Consider the following 22,968-nt stretch of genomic DNA (forward strand, 5'->3'; position numbering starts at 1 on the left):
CTAAGGTAAAAAGGAAAATCTTTGCACAAAGCCTAACATGGCTACATTTAGTCCTTGAACTTTTGTGCTTGGAAACATGCCAAACAATCTGCCTTGGCAAATGGCCCCCAGGGCCTACCAAAAGGTGCATTGTCATCAGCCTCTGGTATATGAGATCCTCTGGAATTATCCGAGTGAGAGGGAAAGAATAATCTCCTTATGGTCACAGTGGCTGCCGGTCTTCTTTGACACATAACTTCTTGGTAATCTTTCCATTAGACCAGAACCTAAACAAAATTTCTAGATTGGTTTATCATAACTCAGAATAAAACATAATGAATGCACCAAAATGTAAAAACAACTTATCTCAAGGAAAACAAATATTATAAAAATTTTCATCTCCTTAAATAGTTTTCTTATTTTATTTATAACAAAAATTTGAAGTTGACAAATTTCCATACAGATAATATAAGAAGAAAGTTTTTTCATGAATGTTGACTTACACACAGTAAGTATTATTCTCAAAATTGGAAGATTTTGTTTCACATTTTACTTCAGATGAAATAAAATGGGGACTTTCGCAGAATAATATATTAATATATATTAATGTATATATTAATATATACACATATCATTTACTCTCTACCCTAAGTAATGTCAGGGTTTGTGAGACAAATGTAGAGTTGCCAGAATCAGAGTCTACAAGCAAAGTATACATTTTGAAAATATAATTTTTTGGAAGAAATTAGATTTTGATTAGTTATGTCAGGAAAACATCACATCTTTTATAAATTAATACTTATATATTGTCTATAATTTTAATGTACCTGACTAAAAACCCCAAGGGTGAAATTTATTGAAAATTATTATTAAATAATATTGGAAACAAAAGGGCAGTAAATTATATAATAAAACTGTTTCCTCTCATTTTTTATTACATGTCCACCTCTTTTCTCAAGTTTTCTGAAATTATTTATAAACAAGATTGTAGTATTATAAGCCTTCTCTCTGAAGGAATATATCTTTGTAGAATCAGTGTCAACATTGAATTGATCTGACTTTGGATAAGTTACTCCAACCTTCCATACTCTTTTTTTCCCTCACCTAAACTATGTGGATAATAGTAGTATCTATGGTATAATATTTTCAGGTGGATTAAATATATTAATAAAGGAAGCCATTCAGAACAATGTCAGGTTCATTCTAATTATGCAATATGCTACATTTTATTATAACATATGCAAATGTTAATTTGAACTTATATCTATATTGGCAATAAAATTAGTCTCTTTAGTCATATTCTATAAATTTATTAGCAATTTGTAGAATGTTAAACTAATTATTAAATGCTAGGTCATTCATATAAACAGAAATTTTTTTTGATTGTTTTGTTTATTTTTTTTGAGTCGGAGTCTGGCACAGTTGCTGGGGCTGCAATGCAATAGTGTGATCCCAGCTCACTGCAACCTCTGGCTCACTGCAACCTCCGGCTCCCATGTTCAAGCGATTCTCCTGCCTCAGCTTCTCCAGTAGCTGGGAGTACAGGCGCCCCTGCTACGTATCAACTTTGATTTCTCAGCAGTTTAGAGCAGGTGAACATGATGGGTAGAAGGAATGACACAAATGTGGCTGACTTCATCCTTACGGGACTGTCAGACTCTGAAGAGGTCCAGATGGCTCTGTTTATGCTATTTCTCCTCATATACCTAATTACTATGCTGGGGAATGTGGGGATGCTATTGATAATCCGCCTGGACCTCCAGCTTCACACTCCCATGTATTTTTTCCTTACTCACCTGTCATTTATTGACCTCAGTTACTCAACTGTCGTCACACCTAAAACCTTAGCGAACTTACTGACTTCCAACTATATTTCCTTCACGGGCTGCTTTGCCCAGATGTTCTGTTTTGTCTTCTTGGGTACTGCTGAATGTTATCTTCTCTCCTCAATGGCCTATGATCGCTATGCAGCGATCTGCAGTCCTCTACACTACACAGTTATTATGCCCAAAAGGCTCTGCCTCGCTCTCATCACTGGGCCTTATGTGATTGGCTTTATGGACTCCTTTGTCAATGTGGTTTCCATGAGCAGATTGCATTTCTGTGACTCAAACATAATTCATCACTTTTTCTGTGACACTTCCCCAATTTTAGCTCTGTCCTGCACTGACACAGACAACACTGAAATGCTGATATTCATTATCGCTGGTTCCACCCTGATGGTGTCCCTTATCACAATATCTGCATCCTATGTGTCCATTCTCTCTACCATCCTGAAAATTAATTCCACTTCAGGAAAGCAGAAAGCTTTCTCTACTTGCGTCTCTCATCTCTTGGGAGTCACCATCTTCTATGGAACTATGATTTTTACTTACTTAAAGCCAAGAAAGTCTTATTCCTTGGGAAGAGATCAAGTGGCTCCTGTGTTTTATACTATTGTGATTCCCATGCTGAATCCACTCATTTATAGTCTTAGAAACAGAGAAGTGAAAAATGCTCTCATTAGAGTCATGCAGAGAAGACAGGACTCCAGGTAGTTAAAATAGCAGAAATGGAACATTTAATCTCATCTTTTCTTTCATTCCTATTGGGTATTTTCTTAGTCTCTCTATAAAAACAATTGAATCCTTTAATTTATTTGCATTTCTGTTGTGCTACTCTTTGCTTGACTAAACATGATTTAAAACATTTCAAGGCATATGTTTTTAGAAATCCAAATGGTAATTAGAATCATAATATGTGTGTCATGTTTTGAAGCAACTGATGTGGAAAATAAGAAAATAAGGTTGTCATTTTTAATTATATTATTCAAATTCTTATGTATGCTTCAACTGTAGATAAATTTATTATGGAAAGAATATTTGAGACACGGTGATAATAGTTTTAGATGTTATTCCATTTATTATGTGGGGAAGAATCATAGCAGAGTGGGTAGGAGTACTTACTTTGGAATAAAATTTTCCAAGAGTTAGATTCTAAATATGCTACACTTTTAGCTGTGTAGCCATTAATATGTTACCTAAAGCTTAAGCCTCCTTTCCCTAAGTGCGCAAGATAAATAACTCCAAATCTGATCAGAGGGTAGTTGTAGAGTATTTAAAGCGATAATAATTAATGCTTCCCATTATCATTAGAAGACCTACATTACTGCACAGTGCGTTTTTTCAAGAATGTAAACTCGTGTTTCACAAATTACTTTTGGTTAATTTAATTGACAGAACTAAAAAGAACAAAAATCAGCAGCTCACAATTTTGGATTTCAGAAGTAAAATATTTCAGTAGAATTATGTTATAGAAAAAATAGCCTATATTAATATAATGTTAGAGAAAATTTGAAAATATTATAAAATATTGAAGAAAATAGAAATCCTCTACAAATATTGAGTTTTGGCTGCTCTTCCTGTGGAGTAGCCATTCTTTTGTTTATTTACTTCTCTAATAAACTCGTTTTCAGTTTTAGAAAAACAAATATTGAGTTTTGTGCATGTTCTTCTAGATCAATAGTTTCAAATACGTGCACATATATAACGCATATAAACAAAAATTTCTATCACTTTCTACATACTGATTTTCAGCTTTCTGTATTCATTTACAAGTTTAACATTAGATAATCTCTTTGTCATCGACAAATCTAACATAAAGTTTTTCTTGATACATGGGCACAATCAAGTCTCATTTCACAATGTTTTGGACTTGAAATATAAATTCATCACGTTAAAAATCTACATGCAGTGATATGTCCTTTGCATGCTAAACAGGTGAAAAGTGGATTTCCGTAATGTGTCAAATTGCTTCTTTATTAAAATCCTGTGTGTTTTTAAAAATCATTGCCTTTCTCCTGTTTTCTACAGGTTTGTTTCAGTTTTAAAATAACTCCTTGAATTAAATGCTTTATTCATTGATTTTACATTTCTTAATACAGAAAAGATGTAAAGCAAAGAATTGACAATGAATTCAGTTGTTGTGACATCCCATCAATTTTAGTCAGGTAGTGTGCTTAAATGTCTTTTATTTTTAAATGTTTTCCTTACATATTCTGGAAACACAGTTTTGTTTTTATCTGCTATTTAAAGGATATTTTAGAAGCTAGTTTTTATTTTCCAAGTATTTGTCTTTTTTGTTTAAACTTTTGTAACAGTTACTAGATAGACTGTTTTCGTTTATATATTGAAATTTTTGTTTGTACAATTATATTTGATTTTTTCTAAGTGCATTTTGAATGTTTAAAATAGACTGTATCCTCTATTTTAGGAGTTAACATTTTAATAAAATTTCACTTATTCAAACTGTCAGCTAATTTATTCAAATCTTTTAAATACATATTGTTTCCTCTTAATTTATTTCACAATTTTGTTTATCAAGTATTAATGCCATGTAAAATTATTATAATTTAATTTTTGCTTTGATATCCATTTTTTCAGGAATATATATTTATAGGTCCCTGTATTTGTTTTCATTTGCAATTAGAAATAAGTATTTAATCGACATTTATTATTTAATAATATGTTTTTGGCTCATTCTTATCTAATAAATGCATAATATAAGTTCATGTATTTACAGGTTCTTTCCATTTTTCTATTTATTTCTATAAACTATGGTTTTATCTTGCTTTCATTTATGTCTACTTCTATGATTTAGAAAATGGATCCTGTCAATTTGGGTTGCAAAGATGGCCAACAGAATCTATCACTTTGTGGTCAACACATGGTGGGAAATTGTTTACATTCTAATTTAATGAGGACCACCCTATCATCTTCATAACATAGGCTAAAACATATTCACATAATGTTATTAAAAAGTATACAATAATCTATGCACAACATGAAAGATTTAGACTGTTCACATTTGGCCTATACTTTCCTTATTATATTGGTGTAAAGTATATTTTATGTAAGATATTGTCTAATTGAAGACATAGTTGTCTGGTTCATAGTGTCATGCCAAAATGCCCTATGATATAAATATGAAACAAACCCTGTCATTGAGCATGGCAAGATATGAACAGCTATTTTTACTTCCACATAATTATGGCTAGAGGAAAACAGTAATAATATATTTTTCTGAGCACTTTCCATGGTCAGGCAATATTCAAAGGCTTTATGTATATCTAATTAACATAATTTATTGTTATAATTTAACTGTCAGGTCAGTACTAGCAATATGTAAAGTTTAATCTCACATTAATGGAAAACCACCCTTTACTTGTTCAAGCAGACTTAAGAATTTTCTTGGAATTTTCTTCTTATTGAACACACTTTACTTCCTTTCCATCAGCATATTAAGGTGATTCTAAATATAGACTGTATTTGGTGTCTGTTTTAACATGTTTTTGCCGCCATCGTGGCCAAGATAACTATATTTTCCACTTCAGAATTATTGCTTCAATATTGTAGAATGCACCTAACTTTTTTTCTTATTCCTCTTGAGTCTAATCTCAATGTAGGAGCCAGAGTTATACTGTGAAACAGTAGGTTAGATCATAATTTTTCTTCACAAACCCTATATAATATTTCTGAAATACGGCCTGAAATTTTCCATTTTCTTTTTCCTGAAACTTTTTTTCCCCAAAGATAACTGCATCATTTTTTTCTTATCCTTTTCTCGACAAGAAAATCTCTCACCACCCTATTAAAACTGGTACCTGTTCACATCCTCTTTCAAACGTTCTTCTTTTTTCATAGCACTTATTCCCATCTGATGTTCTAAATATTTTTCTTGTGCCTTTTATTTTGTGTCAGTTTTCCCCTATTATCATGTAAGCTCTATGAGCATAGGACTTTCCCCCAGTACCTAGAACAGTACCTTAATAAATGTATTTAAAGACTGAATTTTATAGATCATGAAACTGGAACACAGAGAGATTCAATAACTTCTCCCACTTTTTAAAAAATGCAATGGTTTACTACTATAATCTCATTGAAACAAATAGAATTTGGTATATTTTTAAAGACATAAAAAAACAGAGGTTATTAAAAGGTATATGCTGTTAATATACATTCTCTAGGGCTGCTGATGGAGGATGGTGTGATTTTGGCATTACTAGCTAAATCTCAAATATATATGTACAGTCCGATTTACAGAAAAATAACTCAATAAAGAAAGACCAGTTTATGTAAGATATTGTCTAATTGAAGACATAGTCCTCTGGTTCTTAGTGTCCTGCCAAAGTGCCATATAAGTATGAAAAAACCTGTAATTCAGCATAGCAAGATATGAACAGCTATTTTTACTTCCAAATAATTATGGCTAGATGAAAATAGTAATAATATATTAATTATTATATTGATGGGATGATGCTGGTGAGAAAATTTGTATTTATCAGAATAAAGGATTTTCTGATCCAAAAAATAAAAAAAAAAATTAAAATGATTCAGAAACAGAGAGACCCAACTACAACAGAAGTATTCTTAAATATAACCTGCAGAATTTTCTCTGTTTTATCCAATTACTCTTGATCTGACTAGACTTGTGGGAGCTGTTTTTCACAGGGCAATCCTAGGACACAGGTTCTTTTGTGTTATTGCTCTATTTTCTCCTTGATGTTGTCCTCTTCTGTGTTATTGAAGAGAGTTAATCTAGTACGTTGTCCGCATTCCAGTCAGAGGAAAAGGTGAGATTTTTTGACACTGGGAAGGCAATTTCAAACTCACTGTTCATATTGATGGTTTTTATGAATGTATTCAATTTATTAAGTTGGCATAGGACTACCCTGGTTACCCATTTCTTCTGATGTAAGCTTCTTTAGAGAATTGTACTTTTCATTTAATAGTTTTCACTTAAGTACTTTTCATTTAAGTTTATTAGCAAAATATTGTTTATAATATTCTTCTTTTCTTTCCATACTTGTGGGGACCATAATAAAATGCCTTATTTCATTCCTGATATTGGTAATATTTATCCTCTCTCTTCTTGGTGGTGACCCTGCATTATGAAATGCACAGTTTATGTATTATAGTTTAAATAAAATAATCTACAACATATCTTTTCACATAAGACCCTTAGGGTAATGTCAAGTCAGATCTTCTCTTCCATTCATTTTGCTATTTTTTGTGGTAAATTTTACTGTTATGTATGGTTTAAACCCAGAATGCACCAGCATAGTTTTGCTAGATATTTATTTTTTAAAGCAATTAAAATGTCCAATATTTGTTATTTTTTATTTTCAGTTATACATTTTTAGTGCTATTTCTTTATTTGTGTGAAGCCATGTTTTCTTATGTTATTACAGACCCTCTACTTCAAAAATAGTTGGAGCACAAGTCTCTTGATTATCAATTATTTCAGCATAAGTAGGCACTGAGCATGTGTGTAGGTGTGTATGTATGTGTATTTATTTTCCTGAAAATAGGCTTCATTTAGTTTCACTTTTTGTATGTCTCCTTCCTGGGATCCTCTTCCTGGTATCCTCTTACCTTCTTGGACCAATGGTTTGATGGATTTCTTACTTTTACAAAATTATTCACCACTGTATCTTCAAATGTTTCTCAAGCTTCCGTTCTTCTCCATTATTCTTCTGTTTGTTATTAGACTACTTGACATTGCCATAGAGTTCTTGTATACTTTTGTTGCAACTTTTTTTCTTTAACTTTCTTTCTCTTTGATAAATTACTATTGGTTCATCTTCAGGTTCACAAATTGTTTCCTCATCCTTATGGACTCCACTGATAAGCTGGTTGAATGAATTCTTTGTCTCCAATATTGTGAGCGTGTGTTTGGAGAGTTGGGTGGGTGGCCCAGTACTTCACTGGACACTTCCTGTAGTCACTATCTGATGAAATTTCTGTCATATTTATGCATGTTCCTTACTCTCTCCACTATAACGTTTATTCTTGTAGTTGTAAATGCTCTTTAGTCAACAACCATCAGGAGCATCTGTATTTGAAAAATTGATGTTATTAGTAAATCTCATAAGCATTTGGAAGGGGCCTGCAGAGAAAACTTTTAAGAGTGAATGTAAATCCTTTCAATCTAGAACTTTCTGATTTTCTCAATAGTACACACTTGGATTTAAGTTTTCTTTTTTTTTTTAATTTAGCTAATTTATTCCTACATACCTTTATGGTGGCCTCATCTTTCTCTCACCCTTTGCCAAAAGTGAAACAGTTCATGTGTCCCATTTGCAGCACAGCCTTAGTTCCAAGATAGACTCACAACAATTATGACTTCATAGGTTAACTGAAGTGTTTTAAATAGGTTGGGAGCAAGGTTCTTTGTAGCTTTCTACACCCTATGTGGAAAGAGAAGCTCTGTATACCCTTTGAATCCTACCCATTGGTATGACTTCAAATATTGCTCTTCTGGGTAAATCCACACTTACCACTGCAGTATCTCATTCTGCATCTTGAATGGGATCTCATAATCCATCCAGATATAACTCATCACATCTACTCTTCTCTTAATACTTTAGTTCTTTGCTCTTTTTTTCTCCTCTCTTTCTTTCTTTTTTTTGTCTTTATCTTTTTGATCACTGACTGCCAAAACCTGTAAACTCTTTATATCCCAATGAGTGGAATAAATTAGCAAGTTTATTAGGTTTAGTAGAAACCACTTCACCAATATTTTTAAGTGCATTCTTTTTCTCTTATTTCTGTCAGTGGCTATAGGAAAACTGATAATGTTTCCTAAAGTATTGTTAGAAGCAAAAAAAGTAAGTTGGTAAGGTAAAAAGATCAGTCAATTCTTTCAATCCATATATAACAAGCAAAAGGAACTCTGTAGTTAGCTAAGTTAGGTTTGAATCTCACATCACTCTTAAGAACCATGTGGCATCGAGCAAATTATTTAAGGTGTGTGTGCATTGTTTCTTCGTGTTTGTTAAAATAAAACTACATAAGTTTCAGGATACAAAACCAATGTATAAAAATCACTAGCATTCCTATCCACCAAACAGCCAAGCTGAGAGTCAAATTAGGAACACAATCCCATTCACAATCGCCACAGAAATAGTAAAATATCTAGCAATAGACTAGGAAGATGAAAGAGTTTTATAATGAGAATTACAAAGCACTGCTCAAAGAAATCAAAGATGACACAAACAAATAGAAAAACATTTCATGCTCATGGATAGAAAGAATCAATATCATTGATGTGGCCATACTGCCCAAATCAATGCTATTCGTAGCAAACTACCAGTGACTTTCTTCAAAGGACTGGAAAAAACTATTATAACATTTATACGAAACCAAAAAAGGTCCCAAATAGCCAAGGTAATAATTAAAAAAAGTAAAAAAGAACAAAGCTGGAGGCATCACATTCCCCAACTTCACACTACACTACAGGGATACAGTAACCAAAACAGCATGGTACTGGTACAAAAACAGGCACATAGACCAATGGAACAGAATAGAGAAACTTGAACTAAGGCAACAAACTTACAGTTATCTGATCTTTGACAAAGCTGACAAAAACAAGCGATAGGAAGAGAACTCAGTATTCAATAAATGGTGCTGGGATAACTGGCTAGCCATATGCAGAAGATTGAAACTGGACCCCTTTCTTGTACTCTACACAAAATTTAACTTGAGATGGATTAAAGACTTCACTGTAAACACAAAACTATAAAAACCCTAGAAGACATCGTAGGCAATATTATTCTGGACATAGGAATGGGCAAAAATTTCATGATGAAGACACCAAAAGCAGCCCAAACAAAAGCAAAAATTGACAAGGTATCTAACTAAACTAAAGAGCTTCTGCACAGCAAAAGAAATTCTCAACAGAGTAAATAGACAACCTATAGCATGGGAGAAAAATTTTGCATTCAGTGCCACTGACAAAGGTCTAATCTCCAGCATCTATAAAGAGCTTAAACAAATTTACAAGAAAAAAACAATTCCATTAAAAAGTGGACAAAGGACTTAGACATTTTTCAAAAGAAGACATACATGTGACCAATAAGCATATGAATAAAACCTCAATATTACTGATCATGGGAGGTATGCAAATCAGAATGACAATGAGTTGCCATCTCACCCCAGTGAGAATGGCCATTATTATTTTTTAACATTTAAGTTCAGGGGTATATGTGCAGGTTTTTAACATAGGTAAACTTGTGTCATGGGGGTTTGTAATACAGATTATTTTATCACCCAGTTATTAAGCCTAGTACCCATTAGTTATTTTTCCTGATGCTCTCCCTCCTCCCACTCTCCACCCTCAGACAGGGTCCAGTGTGTGTTGTTCCCCTCTACGTGTCCATGTGTTCTTCTCATTTAGCTCCCTATCCTTAGTAAACTAATCTAGGAACAGAAAAACAAATATCACATATTCTCACTTATAAGTGAGAATAGCTATTATTAAAACATCAAAACAATAACAGGTGCTGATGAGGTTATGAACAAAAGGGAATACTTATACACTGTTGGCAGGAGTGTATATTATTCAACCATTGTGGAAAGCAATGTGATTCCTCAAAAACCTAAAAATAGAACTGCAGTTTGACCCAGCAATCCCATTACTGGGTATTTACTCAAAGAATATAAATTATTCTATCACAAAGACACATGCCTGTGAATGTTTATTGCAGCACTATTCACAATAACAAAAGCATGAAATCAACCTCACTGCCCATTCACGATAGACTGACAAAGTAAATGTGATGTGTATACACCATGGAATACTATGCAGCCATAAAAAGAACAAGATCATGTCTTTTGCAGGAACATGGATGGAGCTGGAGAGGATTATTCTAAGTGAACTAACACAGCAACAGAAAACCGAATACCACATGTTATCACTTAAAAGTGGAGCTCAACACTGAGTACATGGTGGACACAAAGAAGGGAAGAGCAGACACTGGGTCTTACTTGAGGGTGGAGAGTAGAAGAAGGGTGAGGAGGGAAAGGTATCAATCAAGCGCTATACTTATTATCTGGGTGACAAAATAATCTGTACACCAAACCCCAGTGTCCTGAAATTGATCTGTATAACAAACCTGCACATACGACTCTGAATCTAAAATAAAAGTTAAAAACTATAAAAATAAAGAATAAATTTATGTACTAATGACAAAAAGCCCCAGAATATTTGACATCAAAACTGATAGATAAGAAAGGAAAAAACATAATTTAACTTTCAATTTTAATATCAGTCTTAATAATTGAGAGAGGAAATAAAGAAGAAAAGAGCAATATTATAAAAGACTGGAAAAGCACTCTCCTCCTGACTAAAATCAATGAAACAATGATTAATCAAATGATATTAAACAACAATTCTTCAAGTAGGCTTTCTCAGAATTGGCACTATTAACATTCTGGACTGAGTAAGTTTTTTGTGTGAGGGGCTATCTTGTGAATTTTAGATTATTTTGCAGCTTAAGTAACATCTATCCTTTAGATAGCAATAACGTTTGTTCACACCACCTCAACACCATGAAATGAGCAATATTTACAGAACTTGCCAAATGTTTTCTAGTGGGGAAACTCACTTCTAGTCAAAACCACTAGTCTAAGTTTATTGTAATTTAATTGGAAAATATTATTCAACTTAATTTGAAATATATTATTTGAATTTAATTTTAAGTATTTTGTTAAGCTACCCCTATCAATATATTATTAAAGCACTCCAATAATCTTTAAACTTGTTGTTCTGGATGCCTTTACTTCTGTGTATTCTTGACAAGTACATAGTTGTGCAGCTATCAGATGAGATAATCAATTTTAAAAATATACATATATTTATGTGCACAATAGAATTTGATGTGAATTGTTATGGTACCTTCTACATGTAATTGTAATTATTTGCCTACAAAGAACACAGAGAATTATTTCACTTTATAGTGAGCAGATCTTTACTGGTTGACAACAAAGATCAATATGAATTTTATTAACAGGGAGAAAACAGATCAGAAGGAATGTATGCCTTTGTTTTTTCAAGTTTGTTTCTTAATTTTATGAACAAAATAATGCCTGGTTTCTGTTGACAATGACTTTCCTCAGGGCATCTTTCACATCCTTGTTCCTGAGGCTCCAGATCAAAGGGCTCAACATGGGAATGACTACTGTGTAGAAGACAGAGGCCATCCTGTCTGTGTCAAGAGAATTTTCTGAGCATTAAGTACATAAGGAACAGGCTTCCATTGAACATCAATGATACAGAGGGGCAATAAGGGAGACAAAGGCTGAGGATAATGTGAAAGTGTCATCAGGAAGCTATAGCTATAGGAGGCAGGCATAAGCTGAATGCAGACTCCTTGCGGGGGGGACATGGTGACCATATACAAAGGAGGATTACAAATGACCAGGTATTGATCACAGGCCATGAAAGCTAGAGCAAGCACTCGGTGGTCATGAAGGTGAGAGAGCAGCCTATGTGCATTGAAGGTTAATTTTTTTTGTTTGTACAAGAAACTTCCAAACATTTTGGATGTAATGACTGAAGCATAACAGAAACTTAAAAAGCCAAGTTGCTCAGAGAAAAAGTACTCGTATGCTTCCTGCATCATTTTTTTAAATGAGCAAATTAATTTATTTCCAAGAAAAAAGACAATTGACGTACAATCCACAAGCTGAATCCACATGGGAAGTCCTCTTCCAGAAAAACCCGTGTCTCTAAATTTAAAGCATCCCACTCCTACTGCAATAAAGTAATGATTATTTTTGGCAGGCAGAAAATTCATCATGACATGGATTTCAATAAATATTTATTTGGCACCTCTGGAGAGTGGGGATGTTTCTTTAGGAAAATTAAGACACCTATGTGGATAAATGTAAAAATGTTTCCAAATCCTTTGGGGTAAGCAGGATATGAAGCAAAATGGTGGAAAGCAAGATATGCACTTTGGTGTATAAACTTTTGGATTTTTGCTCTCTTTCTGTGAAGAATGGCATGGGTATTTTGATAGGAATTGCTTTAATCTGTAGATTGTGTCGGATTGTATGAACATCTTAATAATGATTATTTCAATCCATGAACATGGTGTATCTTTAGATTTTCTTGTATCCTTTTCAATTTCTTTCATCAATGTTTTATAGTTTACATTGTAGAGATATTTTACTTCTTTGGTTAAGTTTATTTCCAATTTTATTCTGGTATGTTTAAGAGCTTTGTGGTTGCTCTCTATAGTTACAAGTAGATCACAAAGAACAGTGCTAGTCTCTAGTAATCATCAGAAGATGATCCTAGTGGCTGTAAGGGAGTTTTCTAAGTTTGATATGTTGGTTTCTGATTCTTTCCTAATCTCTATGGCCCAAGTCACAATACAGAAATTCTACACAATCTTCTCCTGTCAAAGTTCTTGTCACTGTAATATGATAGTCTTGCATTATGTCTTTCAGACTGTACATGGTCCTTAATAGATATTTATGAAGTGAACGCATAGAAGGTACAGCACAGGACACGTCATACCAAAGTGTCTTCATTTGCTCCACCTCTGTTTTCCACCTCCTACATTTTGTTTTTCCATCTCACTCCATTCTTATTGGCATTTTAGCTTTTCATCCTTGATATCATCTTTGGTCACATCTCCTCACATCACATCATTTGGCAGGAAACAACATCTCTTTGACTTACCATTGTAAGGATTCACTCCTTCCTAGCTCAAAATTCTCATTTCCTTTAATAAATAATATTTTTATAAACCTGCTTTTTAATTTGCAATATCAATAGTGGTGGATAAACACTCATATATATATATATACATATATATATATATATATGGTAAATTCATAGTGAATCATTTCATTACTATAAACATTGCATTTAAAAAAATATGCAACACTTTTTTAAAAAAAGCTGGGCAATAAATGAAAGTAATAGAGGACACCCAAGTGTGGAGATCCACAGAAGACAGGACATGTAAAACAGACAGGATTGAATATTTTTATGAAGAAACCTCTGAAGATTAAGATACCCAGAAATCTCCTTCCAAATAAAGTTGTACTCATAGCACCTTTAGTTTGCATAACACAAAATTTATTAAAAAGGAAAAAAAACATACATCTGAAGTGACTTTATCATTAAGCGCTCAGTGTTTTAATATTTTTCCCTACTTTAGCATCAAAATAAAGTCATATTTTCTGGAATACTCTTCACAATACCAGGCTAGTATAGATGCCCAAACATTTCTGGCAAATTAATTTCGAAGAAGGATAATTCTTCTTCATTAGGAATTCCCAGATTATTACATGCATACACATAAATAGTACTCCATTCATTTATTATCGCACTAGGTAAACCAATGATTTTTCAACTGATAAACTTTCATTGCATTATAATATTTAGGGTTGAAAATTTAATTAAAAACCCGACATCAATATATATAGATCTGGTAAAATTCATTATATTTCATTTGTCATATTTGGCTACAAACAATTTTATGGTCTTCTAGCATTTCTTCCTAAATCTAAAAATTGTCATTTGAGGACCTTGTTAATAGTTTATAAAAACTGAGTTTGGTGGAACAAATTTTGTTATTAAACATGTGGTTATATTATTCCATTGTTCAATAGAAGGCCTAACTAGAAAACGTATTCAGTGGAATCCAAAGATGACCTTTTATAAAAAAAAAAATTATGATGGAAATGTAATGCACAGTAAAAATGGGAATGAATTTGGGACTGTGGAAAAGTGATTATGTTACCTCAAAAATCTCATCTTATGCAAACAAGATAGCTTTTTCCTGCCTTTTCATTCTTTCACTAAGTGGAAGAAAGATTGGCGTGAAAAGTAGACTGAATATCTCAACACCAAGGCAAATTAAAAGATATCCAATCACTACTTTTCCAGTTACTTGAGTCTAATTTTGTACTGTAGAGTTGTGTTTTGTTTCCTTTTTAATATTATAATTATTCATATCATTCATAATTATTCATATCATAATTATTCATACCATATCATAATTATTCATAATTATTCATGACTGAAGATTTAGTTTCTTTGGTCCTTTAGTCCTGAAGGAACTCTTTAACACAAGAACCTACTTACAAGTAAACTGAACACACACACAGAATGTCAACATAATCTTCCATATGTATCTTTCAGTCTAGTTCTTTATTTGTAGGATATATTCCTAAGTTTCAATGCCAGAATCCCCATTGGCACTTTTAATATGAGTTTTTTGACTTTTGCCTTATGATTTTTATTTGATAAGTCTGGGATATATCCTATAAGTCTGATTACTCCTATATATTATAAGTTGTACAATAGGTGTAAGTGTACACTTACTGATCAAAAACTATCAGAAAAAAAGAACAAAAATTCAAAAAATATTTCTGATGATGTAAGAAACTCCCATGAACAAGTTTTTTTAAAGTTTATTAATATACAAAAATAGAACATTTGTTTTACCTATGAAGGATGAATGATATTTAGAGGAAGGAGAAAAGGAAATTTTTATAAAATCTGATGTTTACAAAGCAAACCCAGTATAAAAGCATATTCAGTGATAGTAGTCTGAGCATTTTATTTAAAAATTGCAGAAAATATATTAGTTGGAATAAAATATTTTCAATTATATAATGAGGATTTAAAATATGTATTAATTGATAGTATGTCTTTATTGTATATTCAAACAATATTAAGAGTTAAAGAGCTTTATTTTAAATATTATTGTCAGTTCAAATTTGTTAACTTTGTTGTAAAAATGATTTTAGTCATCTGTAGTTACAGTTTTTCAAGATGCAGGCATCCACTCTACCAATCATACCCAGAAAGAAAAAAAGGAGTCCACAGAATGAAAAATATTCACTTTAATTCTCTTGTTCCTATTTTGTTGCTCTGTTAAAACTTAACCTTTTAAAAACTGATATGCTCCTTACTCCTGAAAATATTTTATTCAAACTGGTTACCTGATTATTTCTGGGCAAAGTTAATAAATAATATTTTTGTTTTGTATTACTCTCATAACTCAAAATGTTTCCATGTATTTTTTTTAATTCAATGATCTTTAAATCTTACCTCTTGGTAATTCTTAGGATTGCTTGTAAACTTACTTTTATTTCTCTTACATAATGGCAGGTTACATGAACTATCTCTTCATTTATTTATAGAGCTCTAAAATTACATTGATTTAAAGGAGTAACATGGATTTTCCATGAATTTCTTTAAGGCAACATTTACATCATTATTCCTCAGGCTGTAGATCAAGGGATTCAGCATAGGAATCACCAATGTGTAAAACACAGAAGCCATCTTATCAGTATCCAGTGAGTGGTTGGTTTGGGGCTGCAAATACATAAATAGCATTGTCCCATAGAAAACCGTGACTGCTATCATATGCGAAGCGCAGGTGGAAAAGGCTTTTTTCCTTCCTTCTGGTGAACGTATCCTTAGAATGGACAAAACAATATTGAAATAAGATACTAGAACTGTAATCATGGAAAAAACCAAATTTGTTGCTGCAGATATAAAGACTATTGTTTCTGGTATGTAAGTATCAGAGCAAGATAATGCTAACAGAGGTGCAATATCACAGTAAAAATGATTGATTATATTAGAAGAGCAATAAGACACAGAGAATATACAAGGTGAAACCACAATAGCTGTAGAAAAGCCATAGAGGTATGTGAGGGACACCAGCAGGAGGCAGAGCCGCCGAGACACCACCACCATGTAGAGCAGAGGGTTACAAATGGCCACATAGCGGTCATAGGCCATCACAGCCAGCATCATTACCTCCGATACAATAAAGAACAAGAACCCTCCCAGTTGGGTGGCACATTCATAGAATGAGGTAGTTTTCTTCTTTACTAAAAAGTTCATCAGCATTTTAGGGGCAATGACAGTAGAGTTGCCAAGATTGATGATAGCTAGATGTCTCAGGAAAAAGTACATGGGGTTTTGAAGTCGAGAGTCAACACTGGTGAGGGTGATGATGCCCAGGTTCCCTGCCATGGTCAGCACATAGAGCACTAGGAAGACCAGGAAGAGGGGAATCTGGAGCTCTGGACAGCTAGAGACACCTGTGAGAATAAACTCAGTGACCCTGGTGAAATTTTCAGGAGCCATGTCAGAGTTTGGAAATTCATCTGTTTGAGGAAGAAAATAAGTGGTTATAGACGTTAAGGAATCATTTTCTAGGATTTCCACTAGATGGCAAGGACAATTCCTGGGTGTGATCTTCTTGTCATGTATTAATCTAATTCAGTTATTAAACTCAGTATTCTCAGTCTAATAAATCAGCTTTGCAATCACTTGGGAGAGAGTAAAGCAAGTATGGTAAATTTAGTATGGCAAAGTAAATAGTTGTTTCAGCATCCTGCAACACTTTGAGGGTTTACTGCCTTGCAGTGTAATTGAATTAAGAATATGTTCTTAGCTTACAAACATTTGAAGCTGGGATGTATCTGATGATTTTTGCACTGATCATGAGAAAGGCTTAAGAAATTGTATATCGCCAAATAATCCAATGGCTACTTGCAATTTCCTAATCTGATAATTCTTCCTTTGCCTCAAGACTAGGTACTATACTCTTCATTTTAAGAATTATATCCTTTTATAACATGTATTAGATCTATATTGAGCTTGCAAATTACAACATGCATGTTTGTTTACTACTTTTTCTCTTTCCATTTTATTAACTCAAACAAAAATACATGGATAAATCTCTTCAGATCTATTTTTCAGGTAGCTGTTTCTCTTCTTAGGTTTCCATAAATAATATCAGTAAAATTTTGTGCAGGCGTGGTGGCTCAAACCGGTAATCCCAGCACTTTGGGAGGCCGAGGCGGGCAGATCATGAGGTCAGGAGATGGAGACCACCCTGGCTAACACAGTGAAACCCCTTTCTACAAACAAACAAACAAAAAAAAATAATTAGCCGTGCGTCGTGGCGGGCGCCTGTAGTCCCAGCTACTCGGGAGGCTGAGGCAGGAGAATGGCGTGGACCCTGGAGGCGGAGCTTGCAGTGAGCCGAGATTGCGCCAGTGAGCCGAGATTGCGCCACTGCACTCCAGCCTGGGCGACAGAGCGAGACTCCGTCTCAAAAAAAAAAAAAAATCAGTAAGATTTTTATCATTTTTGTAATTCCTCAACATTATGCTTTCCTGGGTACTACTTTCTATTTCTTCCCTCTCATGACTATTCTTTTCCTTGTGCTAAAAGTTCGTACAATACTCCGTGTTTTTTTCATGATTTTTCTTTTAATTCAATTTTTTGTTTATAAAATGTTATATTTCTTAAATTTACACAATACACCTGCTCTTAATTTTAGCTGATCTGTTTTTTTTACGTTTTTTGATATTTATATTATTGTAACAGGAATAAACACCTTCATTTTGAGGGTTTTTATGATAATTATGTTGCATGTATTTGCCATAGATTCAGCGTGCTATTTTAGTATGGATGAACACTTTCCTAGAGTTGTATATTTTAATCATGATTATTTGCCCCTAACTAAGTGAATTCATGTCCTGTTGGAGTCACAATTGATAGTTCCAGTGGTGGGCACCTGGTCCAAATAAGTCTTATCATATAGTTCTTTATTTTAAAGTTCACAATTAAGTTCCAGAAAGTTAAGAATATATTATCACACAGATCTGAATTTTAAAAGCCCAGAGCTATTCAGTTTCTCTCCTTCTAAAAGAGATAGAATAGAAAGAGAAACAAATGATTATTCTACAGTGAGAAAAAATAAAGAAGTGACTACTTAAAAAAAGAAAACAGAGAAATAACACCAAAATGACTCCTAACGTTGTTGGATATCTGGTACCAGTTTGTTTGATGATACCAAGCATAAATTTTTCCTGTGGGTTCTGTGAATTATCCTCTTATTTTCCACATATTTATTAAAATTCTACTTTGTTCCAGGCTATGTTCGAGCTTCAGATAAATTACCTGACCCTCAGATCGTGAATATGTTATTGTAATGATAGGGAAGAGAAAAATCTGTTAAGAAGGCATATAAACACAATAATTGCAGATTTAAATAAGCATAATAGGTAAAACAAACAAGATAATATACTAGGATAACCTGGGAGAGTACTATCACATAGAATATTAATATTAATACTTTTACAAGGAAGGCTCTTCTGAGAAGGTGGCATTTGAATTGAAACCTAAAGGTGGAGAAGGAATTAGCTATTTAATCAGTCACAGGAAGGGCATTCCAGGATTCCAGGCAAGAATTAATTTCTTGAAAATGCGTATCTGGGAAAAAATATGGCCTATGCCACATCTGTTCTTCATTCAGATAAAGTTATCCTGCCTTTAGAATATGTTCTTATAAATGCTGTAACGTGCATAGATAGGAAATGAGAATAGGACAGGAGGGGCACTAGGTAAATAATGATAGACAAAGATCCTTGTTAAAAATAGTTGAAAAGCATGAAACATTAAGTTAATAGCCCTATATTGCAAGGGAGGAAATAGTTTTGCAGAGTATAGGGGCCTTCAACATCTTTGGTGATAACCTAGTTTAAACTCTGCCCTTGAAAATTGTCAATGATCAATGTTTCTACTTACTTCAACAGAGAATCTGCTTTGCTTTCTACTTCTTTAGCCCTCACAGGTGGCTACAGAATAGATTTAAGGTTTTTTTCTAAAACCCTTGAGACTCATTTAGTTGAAGTTTCAATCTGATTCAAGGATAAAAAATTGTACATAATTACCTGAGGGAGAGTGCCTTGGATATTTGTTAATTATTCTCAGAATTTTCCATTAGAAAAAGTCATAATATTTTATGTTTCAGTCTAACTGAATAATTGAATTATGCAATATGACTAAACACAGGAAATTATAAATATGACTTTGTCAGCATTTTGGTTACACAGTATTTTGCTCATATTAAGTATACCACACACAGACACCCATATATGCAATTTGTTAGTAAATGAGAAAAAATTTTCTAGAAAAAAACATGCAAAATTTGATAATACAACATCCATTGACAAAGAATACTTTTGGTGATTATGGTATAATTCTACCAGACATATAGTTATTGGTTGACATAAGAAAGTGTCATGACTTTGGCCGGGCGCGGTGGCTCACGCCTGATATCCCAGCACTTTGGGAGGCCAAGGCGGGCGGATCACGAGGTCAGGAGATCGAGACCATCCTGGCTAACATGGTGAAACCCCGTCTCTACTAAAAATAAAAAAAATAGCCTTGCGTGGTGGCGGGCGCCTGTAGTCCCAGCGACTTGGGAGGCTGAGGCAGGAGAATGGCGTGAATTCAGGAGGCAGAGCTTGCAGTGAGCCGAGACGGCACCACTGCACTCCAGCCTGGGCAACAGAGGGAGACTCAGTCTCAAAAAAAAAAAAAAAAAAACAAAGAAAGTGTCATAGTGTCATGACTTTTATTTTTTCTGCCAATGTATCAGTGGTAAACATTTCTTCATTCGTTTATATCTTTTATCACTAGCAATTTTGAAGAATTTTTTATAATTTTTTATAATTAAATTTTTTATAATTGATGGTGAAGCACTTTGGCATCATTTTCTTTCTGTTTATTTTGCTTGGAGTTATTTTATCCTGTTGTATCTTCATCATTATTAAAAAATAAACTTAGAAATTCTGGCCAACATCTTTTTCCCTGTTTCTTGTCCTATAATATAGTTTTTTCTTTCCACTTAGACCTTATAATTAAACATGTGGTAGGTATCTTGTTATTGTTCTATAGTTGACTGAGACTGTTTCAGTGGGTTTTGTTTTTAGTATTATGTTTCTCTCTGGCTTCATTTTGAGTGTCTATTGTGACAAGTCACATCTTTTCTTTTTCAGTGTATGTTTTTTACTCAATAAATATTTGTTCATATGTAATATTGTATTTTCATTTATTTCTCACAGTGTTGGTATTTGTGCTAAATCATTCAGTATATCCAACATCTATAATAACATTTTGAAGGTTGCACACTGCTGCTTTCTCATAGGACTAGAATTTGTGATTGGATGTTGAATATTGTAAATTTTATAAGAATAATTGCTGTGTTTTATTTTAATTTGTTTTCCTAAAAGAATGATAAATGTTTTAAAATGTACAAGTAATTATTGACTTTAGTCACCTTGTCGTGCTGTCAGTTATCAGTTGACTCTATTCGAGACTTGTTTTCAAGCTGGCAAAGGGGTTTAAAATAGCTTTGTTCCTGAGATTTCTACTGGATGTCTATGTCTTGTAAAAGGACTTTCCACTATGACTTTTTAGAATTCTAATGTCTTCCTGCCCTGTGTAGTTTCTATGAAATGTTTCAGCACACAATTTCCTGGTCATTCTTTTAACAGCTTTATGTCATGCACAAGTCTAGGGTTCAGCCAAAATCTCAAGAAAACTTATGGAGGAAAGGATGACCAACAATAAGGATAGGACCTATAGGAAACAAATAGCAATATGCCAAAAGGATGTTCTCCATTATCTGTGATAACTTTAAATGGACATGGATTACATTCTCCAATTAAAAGAAAGAAATTGACAGAATAAATTAAACAAACCAAAAAAACCACGTGATCCAAATATATGCTATCTGCATGAGTCTGACTCACTTTGTTTAAATAAAATGAAAACAAGATTGAGAATGTACATCCTATTTTAAAAAAAGGCAAAACCCCTACAAAATAAAGATATAGCTTACTAAAATGTAGCTTAATGTGTGTTCCACTGGTAGAATATAAGGTATGAGATCACTAAAGAAAATAGTAAATCAGAAGAAAGACATTTTCGAAGGAAGTGGTATTTTAATTGAATTCTATAATATGAGGGTTAATTGGCTGATTATAATGAGAACAATCTATTTTTGAAGTGTTAAAATGGTTCTTTTTGTAGAGTCATAAAGAATGTAATTATATCTATTAGAAACACTATCAAGTGATAAATATTTTCTCATAATTTATTGGAACAATGTTCCATAGTGTACTGTAAAGACAAAGTTTGCACTAATTCTTAAAGACTCTATAAAAGACATTTTTAACCCCTAAGTTGCTAAAGCTGTAGATCAAGAGGTTAAACCTGAGGATCATTAAAGTGTAGAACAAGGAGGCCATTTATCCATATCAAAAAGTAGAGATCCATAGAACATAACCACCATTGTAAGATGAGAACCACACATGGAGAAAGCTTTTTTCCTGCCCAGTGCAGAATGCATTCAACATATGGCTAACAAAATCAGAATGTTTAACACTAGCAATACCAGGAGGTAGGGATCAAATTAAATGCTGTAAGCAGTGTGATCAACAATTCTCTTTCCTGTGCATTTGAGCATAGCATATGGAAGAAGAGAACATCATAACAATAGAAATGACTGATGATAAAGCTACAGAAGGTCAAAAAAAGGTCATTGTGATAATTAGAGATTGAAATGTATTACAGAGGTATGGAATGCTCATCAGCACATGTTACAGTCACAGACACATGATAACAATGTAAAACAAAGGGTTGGAGTTCACCACATAGCAATCATAGGCCATGCTTACCAAGATTAAAAGTTCAGTGATAATGAACATAAGAAAGTCATATGTGTGGCACATGCATAATAGGAAATGTTATTCTGATCCACAACAAAATTTAACATTTTATTGGTGTAAATAACAATACAATTGTAAAAATCAATGAAAAATATGTGTTTGATTAAAAAATATACAACAGGTGTGTATAGGTGGGAGTCTAGTTTGGTCAAAATATTCATGCCCAGGTTGCTCATCACTGTGATCAGGTAGGTGATGAGGGAGACATCACAAGAAGTTAAGCTGGCTGGGTACAGTGCCTCATGCTTGTAATCCCAGTACTTTGGAAGGCCAAGATGTGTGGATCACTTGGGGTCAAGAGTTCGAGACCAGCCTGGCCAACATGGTGAAACCCTGTTACTTAAAAATACAAAAATTAGCGCCACCCCGTCTGGGAAGTGAGGAGAGTCTCTGCCTGGCTGCCCATCGTCTGGGATGTGAGGAGCCCCTCTGCCTGGCTGCCCAGTCTGGAAAGTGAGGAGCGTCTCTGCCCGCCCGCCATCCCATCTAGAAAGTGAGGAGCGCCTCTTCCCGGCCGCCATCCCACCTAGGAAGTGAGGAGCGTCTCTGCCCGGCCGCCCATCTTCTGAGATGTGGGGAGCGCCTCTGCCCCACCGCCCCA

The 22,968-nt window shown here is 33.7% G+C and overlaps 2 protein-coding genes and 2 pseudogenes across 2 annotated transcripts; 1 reads left to right on the forward strand and 3 right to left on the reverse strand.

Annotated features, from left to right (window-relative positions):
- Positions 1-1,577: 1,577 nt before the first annotated feature.
- Positions 1,578-2,516, forward strand: OR8H3 (olfactory receptor family 8 subfamily H member 3). The gene has a single exon (NM_001005201.1). The coding sequence runs from the start codon at positions 1,578-1,580 to the stop codon at positions 2,514-2,516; it is 939 nt and encodes a 312-aa protein (NP_001005201.1).
- Positions 11,870-12,698, reverse strand: OR5BN1P (olfactory receptor family 5 subfamily BN member 1 pseudogene; annotated as a pseudogene).
- Positions 13,926-19,406, reverse strand: OR8J3 (olfactory receptor family 8 subfamily J member 3). Its single transcript, NM_001004064.2, has 2 exons — positions 19,378-19,406; positions 13,926-17,702 (listed from the first exon to the last, which is right to left on the reverse strand). The coding sequence occupies exon 2, from the start codon at positions 16,921-16,923 to the stop codon at positions 15,976-15,978; it is 948 nt and encodes a 315-aa protein (NP_001004064.1). The 5' UTR covers positions 16,924-17,702; positions 19,378-19,406; the 3' UTR covers positions 13,926-15,975.
- Positions 21,720-22,591, reverse strand: OR8K4P (olfactory receptor family 8 subfamily K member 4 pseudogene; annotated as a pseudogene).

The sequence above is a fragment of the Homo sapiens genome, chromosome 11, assembly GCF_000001405.40.
Source record: "Homo sapiens chromosome 11, GRCh38.p14 Primary Assembly".
Lineage (NCBI taxonomy): Eukaryota > Metazoa > Chordata > Mammalia > Primates > Hominidae > Homo > Homo sapiens.